Raw genomic sequence first — 20,727 nt, forward strand, 5'->3', positions numbered from 1 at the left:
TTTTGTATTTTTAGTAGAGATGGGGTTTCACCATATTGGCCAGGATGGTCTCGATCTCCTGACCTCGTGATCTGTGCCCACCGCGACCTCCCAAAGTGCTGGGATTACAGGCGTGAGCCACCGGGCCTGGCCTCTTGACTTTTTTTATGGGTTGCTTTGCTATACAGAAAAATAAGAATTTTATGTTATCAGAATTATCGGGCCTCTTTTTGTTTGTTTTGTTTTTGAGACAGAGTCTTGCTCTGTCTCCCGGGCTGGAGTGCAGGGGCATAATTACAGCTCACTGCTGGGCTCAAGCAATCCTCCCAGGGACTACAGGCATGCGCCACCGGGCCTGGCTAGTTTTTGTATTTGTTGTAGAGATGGGGTTTCGCCATGTTGCCCAGGCTGGTCTGGAACTCCTGGGCTCAAGCAGTTGCCTGCCTCAGCCTCCCAAAGTGCTGAGATTCCAAACATGAGCCACTGTGCCTGGCCTGACTTTTCTTAATAGTTTAGGATTACTTGACTGGGAAGGAATCCCCATCTTGAACCTATATAAATATACTTTAAAAAACATTTTTTTTTTTTTTGAGACAGGGTCTCACTCTGTCACCCAAGCTGGAGTGCAATGACACAGTCACAACACACTGCAGCTTCGACCTCCCTGGGCTCAGGTGATCCTTCCGCCTCAGCCTCCCAAGTAGCTGGAACCACAGATGCACACTACCACGTCTGGCAAATGTTTGTATTTTGTATAGAGATAGGTTTTGCCATGTTGCCCAGGCAGGTCTTGAACTCCAGTCAAGCAATCTGCCTGACTTGGCCTCCCAAAGTGTTGGGATTACAGGCGTGAGCCACCATGCCCAGCCAACATTTTTGTTTATTTTTACCTTTAGATTTTTGGTACATCTGGAATTTATTTTTTTATTTTTATTTATTTATTTTTTTTGAGACGGAGTCTCACTCTTGCCCAGGCTGGAGTGCAGTGGCGCGATATTGGCTCACTGCAACCTCTGCTTCCTAGGTTCAACCAATTCTTCTGCCTCAGCCTCCCAAGTAGCTGGGACTACAGGCATGCATGAGATTAGGTTTCGCCATGTTGGCCAGGCTGGTCTGGAACTCCTGACCTCAGGTGATCCACCCACCTCGGCCTCCCAAAGTGCTGGGATTACAGGTGTGAGCCACCGTGCCTGGCATGGAATTATTTATTTATTTATTTATTTAGAGACAGAGTTTCACTCTTGTCGCCCAGGCTGGAGTGTAATGGTGTGATCTCGGCTCACTGCAACCTCTGCCTCCTGGGTTCAAGCGATTCTCCTGCCTCAGCCTCGCAAGTAGTTGGGATTACAGGCGTCCACCACCATGTAATTTTAGTAGAGATGGGGTTTCACCATGTTGGCCAGGCTGATCTCGAACTCCTGACCTTAGGTGATCTGCCTGCCTCGGCCTTCCAAGTGCTGGGATTACAGGCCTGAACCACCGCGCTCGGCGGGAATTTTTTTTCTTTCTTTCTTTCTTTTTTTTTTTTTTTTGAGACGGAGTCTTGTTCTGTTGCCCAGGCTGGAGTGCAGTGGCGCGATCTCAGCTCACTGCAACCTCTCTCTCCCAGATTCAAGTGATTCTCCTGCCTCCAGTCCCAGTAGCTGAGATTACAGGCGTGCACCACCACACCCAGCTAATTTTTTTTTATTTATTAGTAGAGACGGGGTTTCGCCATGTTGGCCAGGCTGGTCTTGAACCCCTGACTTCAGGTGATCCACCCGCCTTGGCCTCCCAAACTGCTGGGATTACAGTCATGAGCCACCGCACCCAGCCTTTTTTTTTTTGAGTGGTTTTATCTGTCATCCAGGCTGGAGTACAGTGGTGCAGTCATAGCTCACTGCAGCCTCAAATTCCTGGGCTCAGTTGGTCCTCCTGCCTCAGCTTCCTGATTAGCTGGGACTACAGGTGCACAACATGATTCTCAGCTTTTTATTTATTTATTTATTTATTTTTATTTTTATTTTTTTATTATTATTATACTTTAAGTTTTAGGGTATATGTGCACAATGTGCAGGTTAGTTACACGTGTATACATGTGCCATGCTGGTGTGCTGCACCCATTAACTCGTCATTTAGCATTAGGTATATCTCCTAAAGCTATCCCTCCCCCCTCCCCCTACCCCACAACAGTCTTCAGAGTGTGATGTTCCCCTTCCTGTGTCCATGTGTTCTCATTGTTCAATTCCCACCTATGAGTGAGAATATGCGGTGTTTGTTTTTTTGTTCTTGCGATAGTTTACTGAGAATGATGATTTCCAATTTCATCCATGTCCCTACAAAGGACATGAACTCATCATTTTTTATGGCTGCATAGTATTCCATGGTGTATTTATTTATTTTTTTTTTTTAGACACAGTCTTACTGTGTCAGCCAGGCTGGAGTGCAGTGGTGCGGTCTTGGCTCACTGCAACCTCCACCTCCAGAGTTCAAGTGATTCTCCTGGCTTAGTCTCCTGCGTAGTTGTGATTACAGGCGTGTGCCACCATGCCCGGCTAATGTTTGTATTTTTAGTAGAGACAGGGTTTCGCCATGTTGTCCAGGCTGGTCTTGAACTCCTGACCTCAGCTGATCTGCCTATCTCAGCCTCCCAAAGTGCTGGGATTACAGGTGTGAGCCACCGTGCCCCCCCCACCTTTTTTTTTTTTTTTTTTTTTTTAAGAGATTGGGTCTCACAGTTTTGCCCAGGCTGGTTTCAAACCCCTGGCCTTAAGTGATCCACTCAGCTCGGCCTCCCAAAGTGCTTGGATTACAGGCATGAGCCACTGCACTTGGCCTGGAATATTTTTGTAATTGGCAAGTGAGATGAGGGACCTAATTTGTTTTCTGCTGAGTGACCAGTTGTGGCAACACTAATTTTTTTAGGTAAACCATTCTTTTCTTTCTGTAGGTGTAATTAAATGATGCTGTACATGTAGTATCACTTGGTTTTGAATGTGTATCATAGTTATCTCATGTATCCAGAAGTTACCAGAGAAGTGAAAGCATATCCGCCCTATTTTTTTTTATCCCTTAATCTTTCATCTCTCTTTCAAGGAAAGACGGATTCTAAAATACTCCTTTCCTTTGATTAGAGATAATGTAATAATTGTAGCAATGTCTAGGCTAGTACTATGTTTCTTCTATCTGAGAGTCTTCCAGGAGGAGTGAAAGTGTATCTGCCTTCTGTTTTTACACCTCCCCACCGAACCTTTCCTCTGTCTCAGGGTGGGGTAGGTAGACTCTAAAATACCTCTCTATTTTGTTTCTAAATAATGTAATAATTATAGTCAGGTTCAGGATAGTACTATATTTACCGTATTTCCAGTGTACAATTCGCTACCTATGGTCAAACATAGAATTTCAGCCCTAGTTGAAATGGGAGTTTGTGGTTTTAAAAATGTTTGTGTCCTTTCATTACTTACAATTCCAAAAGTTGAAACTCTGAGTGATACCTTGATACTTATGCTCTATTTATTAATGTAAATAGAATATGTTTTTGTGATTCTGTGTATGGTTAGAGAACTTTAAATAAAAATGACATTGTACTTTTTGACATTAAGACTATATACTGTTTAATTGTGAGCCCGTCTAAGCACACTCATCATCTTAACTCTCCCCTTACAGCATCAGGTCTGTTTTTGAAACACTGAGCCATGGTTGAGTTTTTCAGACACTCAAGCACTTTGTATAGTTGATTTTTTAAAAAAAGATTGTGTGTGTGTGTGTGTGTGTGTGTGTGTGAATTTTAATAGTTCTATTTCTTTTTTTTTTTTTTTTTTTGAGACGGAGTCTCACTTTCACCCAGGCTGGAGTGCAGTGGCACATTGTCGGCTTGCTGCAACCTCCACCTCCCGGGTTCAAGTGATTCTCCTGCCTCAGCCTCTTGAGTAGCTGGGATTACAGGCAAGTAACTCGGATTACAGGTGCCTGCCACCACACCTGGCTAATTTTTGTAGTTTTAATAGAGACAGGGTTTTACCATGTTGGCCAGGCTGGTCTCGAACTCCTGACCGCAAGTGATCTGTCTGCCTTGGCCTCCCAAAGTGCTGGGATTACAGGCGTGAGCCACCACGCCCGGCCATTAATTTCCATTTGTTTCTAAGGGACTTGCTTCACTAACTCCCCACCTGCCAAGGGTTCATTCCCTTTTTTTTAAATACACAGCTTCCTGGGTCTCTTCTCCAACTTGTAGTTTATTTATTTAGTTCCCCTTCCACCAGCAGACTCAAAATGGTGGGTAAGAAACATGGCATTTTCCATTGTGATTTTCTTTGCAACAGCTGGGGTGGGTTCTATATAGGCTTTGCTTCCACAAGGCCTGGGGGATGCAACACCTGTTGATGCTTCTCAGTTTTCCACTGCCTTTGACAGGTTGGTGGTTTTTAAGCCCTTTCCACTGTACCATCCCTACTGCCCCTGGTGCGAAAGCATCATCTTTTGCTCTTGATCTCTAGGTGGGTAAAACCTGCCTGATTAGTAGTGATTCAGATAGTGTGACCTCCTTCAGTTTTCTAAGGGCTGAAACTCCTTTTTTTTTTTTTCCTTTTTTCATGACTTCAGAGGTAATCAGGCTCTAGGGGACTGATTCTCTCTAACCAAACTCTGGAGACTGAATTGTAAATCCACATGCAAGGTTATTAATTTACAGTGGGAGGTATACCTATCCAGAGATCTGCATAGAGCCCCTTCCTGCTCTGCTCTAGAGACCAAATTACTATAAGAAGGGTCCTTGATGTGCAAAGAATTGGACAAGGGAAATTGGGTGTTGCCAAAAGGCTGTTTAAAGCAAGCAGCCTTGATTTTGGTGATCCTTCACTTTTCTAGTATTTTCTGGCTTCCGTTGCTTTGTTCCTTCTTTAAACTTTTCTTTTAATGCTGTCATCCATTGAAATCCTATACAGAGAAAAGAAAGCCTGCTCATCCTTCAGGCCCATGCATCCTAGGAGCTACAAACCCTATAAAGCCTTTCTGATTCCCCAGCATGTTGTTTTTATTCTTTGTTCCTTTAGCACTTTGTGGATACCACTTTTTGGAATATTTATTGTAGTTTTTCTTGTTATAGATATGTGTAGCAAGATGTATAGCTTGTGAAGAAGTTCAGGAAACGCCACCCCAAAATATGCTGCATTGGATCTCAAACTGAAGGCACTTGGGGAGCAGCAGATGGAGGGCTGTCTCTGAACTTACTTCATCTACCTAAAGACACATCCTCCAAAAGGAACTCTAGGCCGGGCGCTGTGGCTCACGCCTGTAATCCCAGCACTTTGGGAGGCTGAGGTGGGCGGATCACTTGAGGCCAGGAGTTCGAGACCAGTCTGGCCGACATGACAAAACCCTGTCTCTACTAAAAAATACAAAAATTAGCCGGGCATGGTGGCGCACGTAATCCCTGCTACTCGGGAGGCTGAGGCACAAGAATGGCTTGAACCTGGGAGGCAGAGGTTGCAGTGAGCCAAGATTGCACCACTGTACTCCAGCCTGAAAAAAAAAACAAAAGAAGGAACTCTATTGTCATGAATCCCTTCCCTGCTAACCTTATGAACCAGGGAAGATTAATTCCTATCACAGGAGATGAGACTGGAGGTCTATATCACATGCAGAAAGACAGCCTTAGCTGTCACCTGTTCTTCTGAGGGCCCATTGATTTTTTTTTCCCAAAAATCATTAAGTCGGGTGCAGTGGTGTGCACCTATAGGGAGGATCACTTGAGCCCAGGATATATATATACATATATGTGTATACACACACACACACACACACACACACACACACACAAAATATCTTAAGTGAATAGTGTACGTGGTTTACTCTCCCCTAAGTTGCCTATAAGAAATATAGAAATATAATTATTTCTATGGTTTTGTTATATAATTATTTCTATAATTTTATTATATAATTTTTCTATAATTTTATAGTATAATTATATAATTATTTCTTTTTTATATACTTTAAATTTTAGGGTACATGTGCACAACGTGCAGGTTTGTTACATATGTATACATGTGCCATGTTGGTGTGCTGCACCCATTAACTCATTTACATTAGGTATATCTCCTAATGCTATCCCTCCCCTCTCCCCCCAATAATTATTTCTATAATTTTATATGATAATTATATAATTATATAAAACATATTTCTATAATTTCTATAGAAATATAAGAAAACTTCTCAGTCTCACTGGGTTCTGGGTATTTACTTTTCCTTGTTGTGATGCCCCTTACATGTAACAAATTTGTATTATTTTTCTTTCCTTAAACTGCTGACTGTTTATTTCAATCACCTAACCCTCAGAAGGTAGAGGGAAAGTCTTCCATCCTCCACACTTGCTTATCTATTCTACTAGATAGTAAATTCATGGAGGTCAGGAAACACGGATTTTTCTGTTTTTTCTCTTCTATTCCCTGACCACTCTGTCTAAAAAAAGTAGAACATTTTGAAGCCCCTATTAGGCTGATGTTCACTTCCGATTTATTACGGAATTTCTACTCCGTGGCCCCGTTGTCTTTATAATCTTTAAATTTTTTCTTTTACATGTTTTTATTGATACGGACTCACTGTTAATTTTTTCATCTTGATATTGGAGTCACATTTGGGACTCCAATCCAAGGTACACTGGCCCTTAGTTTTGTGATTTGCATCTGGGTTGTTTTCTTAGATTTGAAGCATTTGGTGTTTTCTTTCTCTGATTCTAAAGTAATACATGCCTATTATACAAAGTGTAGAAATTATTCTAATAATTTTTTTTTCTTTTTTGAGACGGAGTCTCGCTCTGTCTCTCAGTCTGGAGTGCAGTGGTGTGATCTCGGCTCACTGCATCCTCCGCATCCCAGGTTCAAGTGATTCTCCTGCCTCAGCCTCCTGAGTAGCTGGGATTACAGGCTCCCGCCACCACACCCGGATAATTTTTTGTATTTTTAGTAGAGACGGGGTTTCACCTTGTTAGCCAGGATGGCCTCGATCTCCTGACCTGGTGATCCGCCTGCTTTGGCCTCCCAAAGTGCTGGGATTACAGGCGTGAGCCATTGCGCCTGGCCTCATACTGCATTTTTAATTTTGAGTTTTGCTTTTTCATTTAATGTGGCAGTTATTCTATTTAGTTTTTCTTTTTTTTTTTTTTTCGAGATGGAGTCTCACTCACTCTGTCGCCTAGGCTAGAGTGCAGTGGCACGATCTGTGCTCACTGCAACCTCCGCCTCCCGACTTCAAGTCATTCTCCTTCCTCAGCCTCCCAAGTAGCTGGGATTACAGGTGCCACGCCACCATGCCTGGCTAATTTTTGTATTTTTAGTAAAGATGGTGTTTTGCCACGTTGACCAGGTTGTTCTCAAACTCCTGACCATAAGTGATCTGCCTGCCTCAGTCTCCCAGAGTGCTGGGATTACAGGTTGTAAGCCAGCGCACCCAGCCTGTTATTTTCCTTTTTTACTAAAAATTATTCATTTTATGGGTGATTTTAATTTTCTTGGTGCTTTTCTCTATTTTCCACAGGTAATTCATGTGTTGCTTTTATAACGCAAAAGATAATAATAAATGCTGTGCAAGGAATTTGAATGTAATCTTATGAACGTAATTTTTTTTGGCTGAGTAATTTAACTCTTCTCTTTTCGTTGGCTATTAAAGTTGTTTCAGATTTTAGGCTTCATCTATAATGCCATGGTGAGCATTTTTGTGAATAAAACCTTTTCAGTGTTTAGGGTTATTTATTAGGATTATGGTCCAGAGTGGTATGATAGACACTGAGTATGTACATATTTAAGATTCTTGATATATAGCAATTAAAAAAAAAAAAGTCATGCCAGTTTTTACTCTGACCTGAGTTTGCTTATGGAATAAGCATTTATCTGGAGCCCATATTCTGCTACGCATTTAAAGTCTTTATTTCATATAATCCTAAGGCAATCCTTTGAGGTCTTTATTGTCCCTATTTATAGGCAAAGGAAGTGAGGCTCAAAGAGGCTGAAGTGACTTGCTCCAGGCTACACAGTTAAGAAATGGGAGAGGTGGGATGCAAATCCATATCTATCATTCTGCAACCCCTGAAAGCACTATATGTGCTGGAGTTTTTATTCAGGTTATTTCCTTTGTTCCATGTACTTCACATTTAATTTATTCAGGATGTTAGAAAGTAGAAAACTTTGGGGATAATTGGTAGAAAGCTATCTCTTGAGAATCAAAGAAACTGTAAAGAGAAAATTATTTTTTATTTGAAAACAGAGATATTCAACTCATGCATCTTCGCCCACCTTGACAAGATATCCCACAGTTGTGTAACATTATTTTTAACAGAGTTTACATTTTGTTTGGAGTATAGGTAGGAAAATTGGAAAATTTAGGAGCCTTGGAAAGTTATCTTTGATTTCCTTTACCATCTCACAATCATCACCATATCCTGTTATTTTTATCTCTAATTTCTCAAATATACTTTACATTCATACAGGATTCTTTTTTTTCTTTCTTTCTTTTTATGAGACAAAGTTTCGCTCTTGTCTCCCAGCCTGGAGTACGATGGGGTGATCACTCACTGCAACCTCTGCCTCCGGGGTTCAAGCGATTCTCCTGCCTCAGCCTCTTGAGTAGCTGGGATTATGGGTGCCTGCCACCACGCCTGGCTAATTTTTGTATTTTTAGTAGAGATGGGGTTTCACCCTGTTGGCCAGGCTGGTCTCAAACTCCTGACCTCAGGTGATCTGCCTGCCTCGGCCTCCCAGAGTGCTGGGATTACGGTCATGAGCCATGGCGCATGGCCTATACAGTATTCTTATTGGCTTAGGTCTTTTAACTGGGTTATTACTGCTTCATAATTGGTCTCCCTGCTTCCAGTTTCTTCCATCCATATCTTCCAACCTGACCCCAAAAGTAATTCTTTCCTCTTTAAAAAAAAAAAAATTATAAATACATTATTTTAGTCCAGGGGCAGTGGTTTACACCTGTAATCCCAGCACTTTGGGAGGCCAAGGCGGCTGGATCACTTGAGGTCAAGAGTTCAAGACCAGCCTGGCCAACATGGTGAAACCCCGTCTCTACTAAAAATACAAAAATTAGCCGGGCGTGGTGGTGCTTGCCTATAATCCCAGCTACTCGAGAGGCTGCGGCACAGAATCGTTTGAACCCGGGAAGCGGAGATTGCAGTGAGCCTAGATCGCGTCATTGTACTCTAGCCTGGGTGACAGAGTGATACTGTCTCAAATAAATAAATAAATAAAATCTTTTTAAAAAAGGAAACATCTACTGATGAGGCTAAAATACTGTTCACTCTCTCATCCCAACCCTCCTACTCACAATCCCCTCCCCTCAAATAATCTGCAACTTGCTTTTTTCCCCTCACATAATATATCTCAGTCATCTTTCCACATTAGTCTATTAGATAGATCTCATTTTTAAAAACTCCTATTATTTATTCCATAGTATAAGTTGTATTTTAGTTATTCACCTAAGTATAAAATGCTTTATAATTTTCATTTTGATTCCCTATTTAAACTGAGTTTTGAGAACTTCCCCCCATTGTCTTTCCTTTTTCTTTCCTTCTTTCTTTCTTTTTTGAGACAGGGTCTCACTGTTGTCCAGGCTGGAGTGCAGTGGCGTGATCATAGTTCACTGTAGCCCTGACTTCCTGGGCTCAAGCAGTCCTCCTACCTCAGCCTCCCAAGTAGCTGAGACTTATAGGTGCACACCACTATGCCCAGCTAATTTTTTATTTTTGTAGAGACAAGGTCTCACCTATGTTACCCAGGATGGTCTCAAACTCCTAGGCTCAAGTGATCCTCCCACCTCAGCCTTCCAAAGTGTTGGGGATTACAGGCATCAGCCACCATGCCTGGCCCCCATTATCTTTCTATAGTTTACTAGGTCTCCCCACCACCTTTAAAACTGTCAGTGCTCCTTCAAGGCTTATAGAGGCAACATAAACTCAGATAGGTCTAGGGAGGAACTAGACTTGTGAGAAACAGCTGGGTGACAGACCAAAAGATATAGTGGGCATTGGCAGCTGCTGGAGAGTGCACACGCTGCCTAAAGATATTCAAATGCATAATATAAACAAACGAAAGAACACTCCTGGCCAAACAACATCTTTGTCAACAGGTTTCAATTTTTCAACCATTAATATGCCAGTCAAAGCTCTTTACAGCTTACTTACTAGCCTCCTCCTACTACTACTCCCAGAACACTTGATCTGCGTTTATTTTTCTCTGCCTTTGTACCTGCTGGAAAGTCTTTCTTTCTGTTTTCTGCCAGAAGGATGCAGCTTGTCCTTTAAGACCCAGTTTGTATACTACTACCTCTTCTGTGAAACTGTTCTGGTTTCCCAAGGCAGATGACTTGTCTAATCTAACATAGCCTATTCAGATCTTTATTATTACCCTGATTACTTCGCACTGTAATAATTTCTGTACCTCTCTGTTGGGCTCATCTAGGGTGTGAGTCCCTACTGTCAAGTTGCTACTTTATTTAACTTGATATTCTTGGCCCTGTCAAGTGCTTCACTTATAAGAGGCATTCCATTTTTGTTAAGAGTGTGAATAAATGAATACTGTTATTAATTATAGTAAGAATGGCCTTGAGAACAGCCAGAATCCAAACTGATGATTACATGACAAATATGAAGCCCCATATCACTTAGATTACTACCATCTGATTTTGTCAAACTTAGGATAATATATTTTATTTTTAAAAAACTTATTTAAATGTCACTAAAATGAATATAAATCACATGTAGACCACAAAGAGAAATGAAAGCAAGAGTTTTAACACTAACTTTTCTTAACTAATAAAATACTTTACTTGGAATCCTTGGGTCCTAATCGAAGCATGTGTTGTACCATTTGCTACTTTTACTCTGATAGTAGAAATTTAATCAGACTTTTTAAAAAAATTTCTTAGCTGATCATGGTTTGTATTAATCAGGCTTTTAAAAAATTATCTCAGTGGGGCATGATGGCTCACCCCTGTAATCCCAGCGCTTTGGGAGGCCGAGGCAGGTGGATCACGAGGTCAGGAGTTCGAGACCAGCCTGACCAACATGGTGAAACCCTGTCTCTACTAAAAATACAAAAATTAGCTGGGCGTGGTGGCAGGCACCTGTAGTCCCAGCTACTCAGAAGGCTGAGGCAGGAGAATCACTTGAACCTGGGAGGTGGAGGTTGCAGTGAGCCGAGATCGCACCACTGCACTCCAGCCTGGGCAACAGAGTGAGACTCCATCTCAAAAAGAAAAAAAAAAAAATCTCAAACTGTTTAACTGTTTTAGTCCTCCCCTACTAAGATTATCAACCTCCCTTGGTCACCTCTGACTCAATCCAATCACTACCCTTATTTTTGCTAGTTTATATCCCTTCTTTGTATCCTGTGGCCTGGCCACTACCATTAAGGGTATGTGTTCTATGTACTTAGATTTAAAATGGTTGTTCTTCTTCTTTTTCTTTCTTTCTTTTTTTTTTTTTTGGAGACAGGGTCTCACTCTGTTGCCCAGGCTGGAGTACAGGGGCATGATCGTAGCTCACTGCAGCCTTGAACTCCTTGGCCCAAGCTGTCCTCCCATCTCAGCCTACTGAGTAGTGGGGACTACAGATGTACCCCACCATGCCTGGTTTTTTTTTTCTATTTTTTTTGTAGAGACAGGATCTTGCTATGTTGCCAGGGCTGGTTTTGAACTCTTGAACTGCTGGGCTCAAGTGATCCTCCCGCCTCAGCCTCCCACAGTGCTGGGATTACAGGTGTGGGCCACAGCGTCCCACTTGAAATGATTCTTTACTTTGTATGCTCTAACTCTTTCATTTTTGTAGCCAGGAAGCGAAGTACAGTCCTGGGCCAGAAATAAGCTTCACTCTTGGGGGAATATGTTTACATATATCCATAGTCCATATTTACATATATCTACATTCCATATTGCTCTCAAAACAAATTCATATTATCAGATTGGAGCTGTCATTTGATCCCAGAATGTGTAGTACAGGGTTGTTTCAGATTTAACACTTTATTCCATGTCCTTTGCTCAAGTAAGGTAAGAGATAATTGCCCTTAAATTAGGTAAAATGTAACTCCCAAATATTTTAGCTTTTTCTAATGTTTTTAGGTATGCGATAATAGTATTGAATTCTTGAATATTAACTTTTTAAATATTCAAGTTCTTATGTACAAAGAATAAAAATCATTACAGCTTTAGCCCAGTGACTTATTTTAGTGTTGTTCTTGTATTTGTGTGTTGCTATAACTTAGAATGTTATGATTCCTATGTTGATTTTTAAAGTGGTTGGCAGTTTAGAACTATACATCATGGCACCTAGCCATACACCATGGCACCTAGGTTACCATGGAACCTCAACCTCTGGTTTTCTGAGGACACCTGGTAGAGTACTGTGTCACTCAGGGTCAGATCCAGTCTGGGCATTGAACATTCCAGACTGCTTTTCATGGTTTGCAAGGTCTTGTCTGTCCTCCAGCCGTTGTATCCTCCTGACATCAGTTCATCTTTGTGATGGTAGCACTTCTCTTCTCTGGTTCAAAATTGAAGTCATTTTTTAATTCTCCCGTACTCCTACATTCAGCCAGTCATCAAGCTTTGTGATAGGGCTCTTGGATTCTCATAAGCACAAGTCACTTCCTTCCTCATGTTATTACCCCCAACTCTGGGTCATGTAAGAACACTCCCTACTACTCCCCCACCGTATACACACACAAAAAACCTTTTAATGATAGTTGCACGCACACACCCACACCTCCCATTGACAGCTGGATGAAGCCCCAATCTTTTATCCAAGTGTTCAAGATCTTCCACATCTACTCCTAGCGTTTTTAGCCTCATTGGCTACTGCTTCCTTCCGACAGTGTGTTAAATAGGTCCTGACCATCCCAGAGCTTAACTGGGGCTTTTGTTGTCCTCAGCCTCTATCAGTTCCTCTGCACATCTGAAGTGATCTTATGCCTCTGAATACCCACCATACCTTATTTTACCCTATTTCTGTTTATCCTGTGACATACTATTGCCCAAATAGTGCTTTATAATCAACCAAAGTGCTTAGAATCTGTTCCTTTATTTAATTTTCACAACCAGTCCATGAGGTAAGAAAGATGTGTCATATCACACAAGAGGAAACTAAGATTTGAGGAAGGAAAAGTAAGTTGTCTAAGTTTTGCAAGAGAGTGGAACTGAGACACTAATCCAGGCCTCCTGGAACATGAGCTCCAAGCTTTGTACGTTATGCTGCCTTTCTTGGTGCCGGAGTCTGCACTTAAATGTAAGTTTGAATATATCTCTCTCTTTCCAGTTGCTTGTAAGTTACTTGAAGGCAGGGGCTATGTCTTATTCCCCTACAACATGTATGTATGAATGAGCCTATTTATATATTAAATATAGTACAGTTCAGTGTTCTGTCCTTTTTCTTAGTAAAAATCATGCTTCTCTCTGAGCCTTGCATCTCCATCTTTTTATTAAGTAGAAATGAAGCTTACTTTTCTCATTGCTAATTTCTTTGTTGGAGTATTACAGATAATAGAGCTAGAACTTTATAATGAATTTAACTTCTGGGATAACTTTTTAGCAATGCAGTTCACAAGTATTTGTTGCCTGTGAAGAGATTAAACCGATAGCTAGGCTACTGAGCTATGGTTCCATACTTTCCAAGTATAAATTTCCTGAATTTTCATATCATTATAATTTTTATGTTGGTTACTTGAGAACATGTATACAAACAAAAAAAAAGCCATTGTGAATTCAGTAATATTTTCCTTCATATTTTTTCCACTGTGGTAAAATACACATAAAATTTTATTAAGTTTTTAATGGATTTGAATTTTATTAATTACATCATCTACATGTATTTGAAAAATCATAGCACATACATCTGCAAGACCTGGCATTCACTCTACAGGAAATGCCTGGTGCCCCTAGTACTTACAGATCCTCCTGGTAACTCCACAGTTGCCAGTTGGGAGTCACATGTGTGGGGATTCTAATACTGTCCTGCATTACTTAGTGTTGCCTTAAGAAGTTTCATGTGAGTTTGTTTTTTTTTTTTTCCGAGACAGAGTTTTGCTCTTGTTGCCCAGGCTGGAGTGCAGTGGCACGATCTCAGCTCACTGCAACCTCCGCCTCCTGGGTTCAAGTGATTCATCTGCCTCAGCCTCCTGAGTAGCTGGAATTATAGGTGCCCACCATCATACCCAGCTAATTTTTGTATTTTTAGTAGAGACAGGGTTTCACCATCTTGGCCAAGTTGGTCGTGAACTCCTGACCTTGTGATCCACCCGCCTCGGCCTCCCAAAGTTCTGGGATGGCAGGCATGAGCCCCCGTGCCTGGCCGCATATGTAGCTTTTGATGCTGTGTCCACTCATCTTCAGAAGTCAGAATTTATATAGAAAGTCAAAGCTGGGGCCAGCCAGGGTAGCTCACGCCTGTAATCCCAGCACTTTGTGAGGCTGAGGCAGGAAGATTGCTTGGCTCCAGGAGTTTGAGACCAGCCTGGGCAACATAGTGAGACCCTGTCTCTACAAATAATCAAAAATTACCTGGACATGGTAGTGTGTGCCTGTAGTCTCAGCTACCCAGGAGGCTGAGGGAGAATTGCTTGAGCCTAGGAAGTCGAGGCTGTAGTGAGCCATGATTGTGCCACAACACTCAGTTTGGGCAACAAAGTGAGACCCTGTCTCAAAAAAAAAAAAAAAAAAGTCAAATCTAAGCATAATATTTATTAGAAAAATGTAGCTTCATTTAATGTAATCTGCTTTCAGAGCTGTATAAATACAGTGCCTACTTAAGTATATTTCAAGAAGTGGAGTATCTGTTCAGGGAAGAAGAAAGCATTGTTGTGACTACAGCAAGTGTCTGCTAACAGATGTGAGATTACTGCTGACTGTTGCACTTAAGAATCCACATGCAGCTGGGTGTGGTGGCTCATACCTGTAATCCCAACACTTTGGGAGGTCAGGGTAGGAGGATCACTTGAGCCCAGAAGTTCAAGACTGGCCTGGGTAACACAGCAAGACCCTATCTCTACCGAAATAATTAATTTTAATTTAATTTTAAATTTTAAAAAAGGCTGGGCACGGTGGCTCATGCCTGCAATCCCAGACTTTGTGAGTCTGAGGTGTACAGATCCCTTGTTCAGGAGTTCAAGGCCAGCCTGGGCAACATGGTGAAACTGCGTCTCTACAAAAAATAAGCCGGGCATGGTGGCACATGCTAGTAGTTCCAGCTACTTGGGAGACTGAGGCAGGAGGATCTTTTGAGCCCAGGATGTGGAGGTTGCAGTGAGCTGAGATCACGCCATTTCACTCCAGCTTGGGCGACAGAGTGAGACCCTGTCTCAATCGATCAATCAGTCAATAGAATCCACACGCAGGAATGGGAGGGCAATGTTTTTCAGCATTTTATCTTTTTGAATTTTTGCCATATGCATACATCACCTATTCAAAAAATAATTAAAAGTTCACAGTCATTTCAATAGAAGTATTAAAAATGTCTTCCTATTGGATTATGAGCTTTTTGAGACCAAGAAGTATGCCAGATTCCTTTCTGTATTCCTGAACCTAGTATAGTACCTTATATATGGTAAGCCCTCAGCTAGTATGTGTAGATACGAATTAGAAACTAAGAGTTGCAAATTTCAGTAGGGACATGACTAAAAATTACTGAATGACTGTGAATAGTTCATGCCTCCTTAACTCTGTTCCTCCTCTTCAGAATGTGGCTGAGACCAGCTTCCTGGCTCTGAAGATCAGCTATTATTGACACCCATTAAAATAACTTAAACACAAGTTAGAATTATTCCTAGTCAGTTGTTCAAAACAGTGGGGTTTATGTTCATTTATAAGTATAGTGTGAGATTTTTCCAAGTGTGACTTCCAAACTGCTTTTTATCTCTTGCAGATCTTTGTAGAATTTGATGGCTGTAACTGGAAGCAACACTCCTGGGTAAAAGTTCATGCTGAGGAAGTTATCGTGCTTCTGCTGGAAGGGTCTCTTGTATGGGCGCCCCGTGAGGACCCAGTCCTTCTCCAGGGCATTCGAGTCTCCATTGCACAATGGCCAGCCCTGGTGAGTGGCTTTTACTGGGTGGGAACATGTCTGAGCTTTACTCCTATAATATAACTATGACATGTTAGGGACAGAGTATGTGTAAGAACTACATACTTTGTCCTTAACGTACATTTATTCTGAAGTTACTAATGCAAAAATTAGGAGCAGTCTTTTCTCCTTTGTCCTCCAAAATGTTTTATATTAGGTGATATTTGATATGAAAGAATTTTTTTGGCCAGACGCGGTGGCTCACGCCTTGTAATCCCAGCACTTTGGGAGGCTGAAGCAGGAAGATCCCTTAAGCTCAGGAGTTTGAGATCACCCTGGGTAACATGCCAAAACCCCATCTCTACAAAAAATACAAAAATTAGCTAGGTCTGGTGGCACATGTCTGTGGTCCCACCTACTTGTGGGGCTGAGGTGGGAGGATGGCTTGAGCCCAGGAGGTTGAGGCTACAGTGAGCCGTGATTGTGCCACTGCATCCAGCCTGGGGGACAGAGTGAGACCCCTGTCTCAAAAACAAAAAAAACAACAATGAAAAGAATTTTTTCACCTTTAGTCTTTTCTCAGAGCAAGGTTTTGAAACATTATTTGTAACCTTTAAAGTTTTTTTTTCAATTATGGAGTGAAAATAGCATTATAAAATTTATTTTATTTTTTGAGACAGGGTCTGGCTCTGTCACTCAGGCTGGAATGCAGTGGTGCAATCAGAGCTCGGTGCAATCAGAGCTCACCGCAACCTCTGACCCCCAGGCTTAAGCCATCCTCCCACCTCAGCCTCCCAAGTAGCTGGGACTACAGACGCACAGCACGGCACCCAGCCTAATTTTTGTATTTTTTTGTAGGGATGGTTGCTCATCATGTTGCCTAGGCTGGTCTTGAACTCCTGGTCTCAAGCAGTCCACCTGCTTCAGCCTCCCAAAGTGCTGGGATTATAGGCATGAGCCACTGTGCCTGGCTGTGTGTTATAAAATTTAATTGTGAGAGTATCCATTTGTTTCTGTCTGTCTTATTAGCAAAGTATAGGTATAAATGGTAACTTCTAAAAAATCCTGATTTTCATGTGGCTAACCAAATTAAATAAATAATATTCAAAACAATTTTTTTAACTGATTGATGGTATATGTCATCACTTACTAAACTGTCTTTTCTTTTTCTTTTTGTCTTTTGTTTTTTGTTTTTTTCTTGAGACAAAGTCTCACCCTGTCACCCAGGCTGGAGTGCAGTGGCACGATCTAGGCTCACTGCAACCTCTGCTTCCCAGGTTCAAGCGATTCTCTTGCCTCAGCCTCCCATGTAGCTGGGATTACAGGCATGCGCCACCATGCCCAGCTAATTTTTGTATTTTTAGTAGAGACAGGGTTTCACCATGTTGTCCAGGCTGGTCTTGAACTCCTAACCTCAGGTGAGCCACTACGCCCAGCCGTTTCATTTGTTTTTGTTGTTGTTGTTGTTAAGATGGAGTTTCGTTCTTGTTGCTCAGGCTGGAGTGCAATGGCTCGATCTCGGCTCACCACCCCGCCTCCCAGGTTCAAGCAATTCTCCTGCCTCAGCCTCCCGAGTAACTGGGATTACAGGCGCCCACCACCACTCCCGGCTTATTTTTTGTATTTTTAGTAGAGACAGGGTTTCACTGCATTAGCCAAGATGGTCTCGATCTCCTGACCTCGTGATCCACCCGCCTCGGCCTCCCAAAGTGCTGGGATTACAGGCGTAGCCACTGCGCCCGGCTTCTCATTTGTTTTTAAGGCCACTTTCCAGTTGAACTTTTAGGAGAAGCTCTTGTATAATAAGTGCATGTGAGGTCTCTTCATGACTTTTTTATAGGCTATTTATTTATGAAATGGTAATATGAATTAACCATGCATATTTATGCTGTTAATTATTTTATAAATTTCACAAAGATTTCAAGAGTTCTGAGATGATAACAGTATAACTCTTTATTCTGGGAATTTACTATAATTTAGCTCCCTTGAAGCCTAATAAGATTAGCCTGATCCCTAGGCAGAATTAGGAGAATTTCTGATTCCTCTTGTCCTTTTTAGCCAATAAGAGTATTGAGCTGACTTTCTGCATTAGTTAGCTTCCCATGACTATTTGAGGGGTAGATGCTAGGTTGGGAATGTTTCCAAGGACTTATGCTTTAGCTTATCTGTATTTACTGGGATGAAAGATATAATAATTATTTCTTTGAAGTTAGAGATTTGTTTGAATTGCTGTTTTTTTATTCCCAAGTTCTAATCAATTTCTTGTCATTGTACTTCACAGACTTTTACTCCCCTTGTAGATAAACTGGGTTTGGGTTCTGTGGTTCCAGTGGAATATCTTCTGGATCGAGAGCTTCGGTTCCTGTCAGATGCCAATGGGTTGCATCTGTTTCAGGTATTTAACACTTGCTTTAGTCTTGAGCCTATTATTTTTTTCGCTGCTAATTTCTTTGTTGATATAAACATAGGTGTTTCTCCTTTTACTGGGTGGGAACATATTAGCATTTCTTTTATTACTTCCTCCAATAAATATGCTGTGCCTTTTTTATTTTATTTTATTTTATTTATTTATTTATTTTTTTTTGAGACAGAGTCTCGATATGTCCCCCAAGCTGGAGTGCAGTGGTGCGATCTCAACTCACTGCAACCTCCGCCTCCCCGGTTCACTCCATTCTCCTGCCTCAGCCTCCCGAGTAGCTGGGACTACAGGCGCCTGCCACAAAGCCCGGCTTATTTTTTTGTATTTTTGGTAGAGATGGGGTTTCACCATGTTAGCCAGGATGGTCTTGATCTCCTGACCTCGTGATCCGCCCGCCTCGGCCTCCCAAAGTGCTGGGATTACAGGCGTGAGCCACCACGCCCAGCCTATTTTATTTTTTTGAGACAGAGAGTTTTGCTCTTGTTGCCCAGGCTGGAGTGCAATGGTGTGATCTTGGCTCACTGAAACCTCTGCCTCCTGGATTCAAGCAATTCTCCTGCCTCAGCCTCCCAAGTAGCTGGGATTACAGGCATGTGCCACCACACCCAGATAATTTTTGTATTATTAGTAGAGATGGGGTTTCACCATGTTGGTCAGGCTAGTCTCGAACTCCTGACTTCAGGCGATCCACCTGCCTTGGCCTCCCAAAGTGCTGGGATTACAGGTGTGATCAACCACGCCTGGCATTTTTAAATTTTTATTTATTTATTTATTTTGAGAAAGCCACCTTGGCTGGCGTGCAGTGGCTCCATCTCGCCTCACTGCAACGTCCACCTCCCGGTTTCAAGTGATTCTTGTGCCTCAGCCTCCCAACTAGCTTGGGATCAAAGGCACATGCTATCACATCTGGCTAATCTTTGTAGTCTTAGTAGAGACGGGGTTTTGCCATGTTGCCCAGGCTGGTCTCAAACTCCTGGCCTCAAGTGATCCACCTGCTTTGCCCTCCCAAAGTGCTGGGATTACAGGCGTGAGCCACCATACCCAACCTCCCTGTGCATTTTAAAGTTTTTCTGCTCCCTTGCAAAGTACTTTTGGTGGCTGAGGCTTCTTTCTTCTACACAGCCCCACCCTACCTTAAAACCGCCCAAGATTTAAGAACACAATTCTGAGTCCCTTCAGAAGAGGTGGCTTCGGCCAGGCGCGGTGGCTCACGCCTGTAATCTCAGCACTTTGGGAGGCCGAGACGGGCGGATCATGAGGTCAGGGGATCGAGACCATCCTGGCTAAAACAGTGAAACCCCATCTCTACTAAAATACAAAAAAATTAGCTGGGTGTCGTGGTGGACGCCTGTAGTCCCAGCTACTCGGGAGGCTGAGGCAGGAGAATGGCGTGAACCTGGGAGGCAGAGCTTGCAGTGAGCCAGGATCGTGCCACTGCACTCCAGCCTGGGCGACTGAGTGAGACTCCATCTCAAGAAAAAAAGAAAAAAAAAAAAAAAGGCAGAGGTGGCTTCTCCGAGGTGGCTGTTTGTGTAACTTGAGTCCAAGGGGGCCTATTCATTATTGACATCCAGGAGTTTGGACTGGTTCCAAGCAGCATGAAGTATCATAGTTACAAAGAAAAGGGACAAGTTAATAGTTAAAACAAACCAGCGTCTGAGTTATAGTTTCAGAATTTAGGGAAATGTATTTATTTTTCACTTGTAAGGGTTGCTGTCTGCAGGAAGAAAATTAGGAGACTCCTGAGTTTTACTGTCTTACTGAGACAGACCAGAGCAGTTATTTCCTAAACTGTCTTCTGTGAGATGTTAATTATGATTTCTTTGTTGATATGTCTTCCCCGCTCGTTAGGTTAATGATGATTTCTTTGTTGATATGTCTTCCTCGCTCGTTAGGCCTCATTCCCTCTCAGCAACCTTGCTTTATTCATATTTATAATCCTAGTGCTTTATGAGATAGCACTTAGTAAATGTTGGATAAATACTGAAATAAGCAAAAAGATTTGCGAGGAATACAATGTTTTATGGTCAGATAAGTATGAGAAACACTGGCCTAAATAAGTTTCTTTCCTGTGTGACTTCTCAGAGCCTTTAATAGCCTATTGTATGTAGAAAGATACATAATATTTCCTAATCCTAATTGATCCTAGCATTCTTAATTTTTGCAGAACATCTCATGAGAATAGAGTTCTCTTTTTTTGTTGTTCACAAGAGACAGGGTCTTGTTCTGTCACCTAGGCTGGAATGCAATGGCGCAGCCATACCTCACTGCAGCCTCAAACTCCTGGGTTCAAGCGATCCTCCTGCCT

The 20,727-nt window shown here is 42.1% G+C and overlaps 1 protein-coding gene across 5 annotated transcripts in view, besides 3 other annotated features; it reads left to right on the forward strand.

Moving 5' to 3' along the window:
- KDM3B (lysine demethylase 3B) overlaps positions 1-20,727 on the forward strand; it is an 84,343-nt gene that overhangs the window by 4,127 nt on the left and 59,489 nt on the right. For 4 of the 5 annotated variants that reach the window (XM_047417313.1, NM_016604.4, XM_005272018.5 and 1 more), the window contains 2 exons: positions 15,863-16,030; positions 18,282-18,395. In XM_047417313.1, coding sequence (XP_047273269.1) covers positions 15,863-16,030; positions 18,282-18,395 — 282 coding nt within the window. Of the gene's footprint in view, positions 1-13,144; positions 13,232-15,862; positions 16,031-18,281; positions 18,396-20,727 lie in introns of those variants that run through there. The other variant, XM_011543488.3, reaches the window with a different exon arrangement.
- Positions 10,125-10,174: an enhancer, noted in NCBI's record as "active region_23202". NCBI's record gives its function as "activates an Ori minimal core promoter by ATAC-STARR-seq in GM12878 lymphoblastoid cells {active_cell/tissue: GM12878}" and the evidence as "EXISTENCE:reporter gene assay evidence [ECO:0000049][PMID:35858748]".
- Positions 13,964-14,464: an enhancer, noted in NCBI's record as "H3K4me1 hESC enhancer chr5:137706464-137706964 (GRCh37/hg19 assembly coordinates)". NCBI's record gives its function as "activates a minimal SCP1, AML or CMV promoter by ChIP-STARR-seq in primed H9 embryonic stem cells {active_cell/tissue: H9 hESC(primed)}" and the evidence as "EXISTENCE:reporter gene assay evidence [ECO:0000049][PMID:30033119]".
- Positions 14,465-14,965: an enhancer, noted in NCBI's record as "H3K4me1 hESC enhancer chr5:137706965-137707465 (GRCh37/hg19 assembly coordinates)". NCBI's record gives its function as "activates a minimal SCP1, AML or CMV promoter by ChIP-STARR-seq in primed H9 embryonic stem cells {active_cell/tissue: H9 hESC(primed)}" and the evidence as "EXISTENCE:reporter gene assay evidence [ECO:0000049][PMID:30033119]".

Source organism: Homo sapiens, chromosome 5, assembly GCF_000001405.40.
Source record: "Homo sapiens chromosome 5, GRCh38.p14 Primary Assembly".
NCBI lineage: Eukaryota > Metazoa > Chordata > Mammalia > Primates > Hominidae > Homo > Homo sapiens.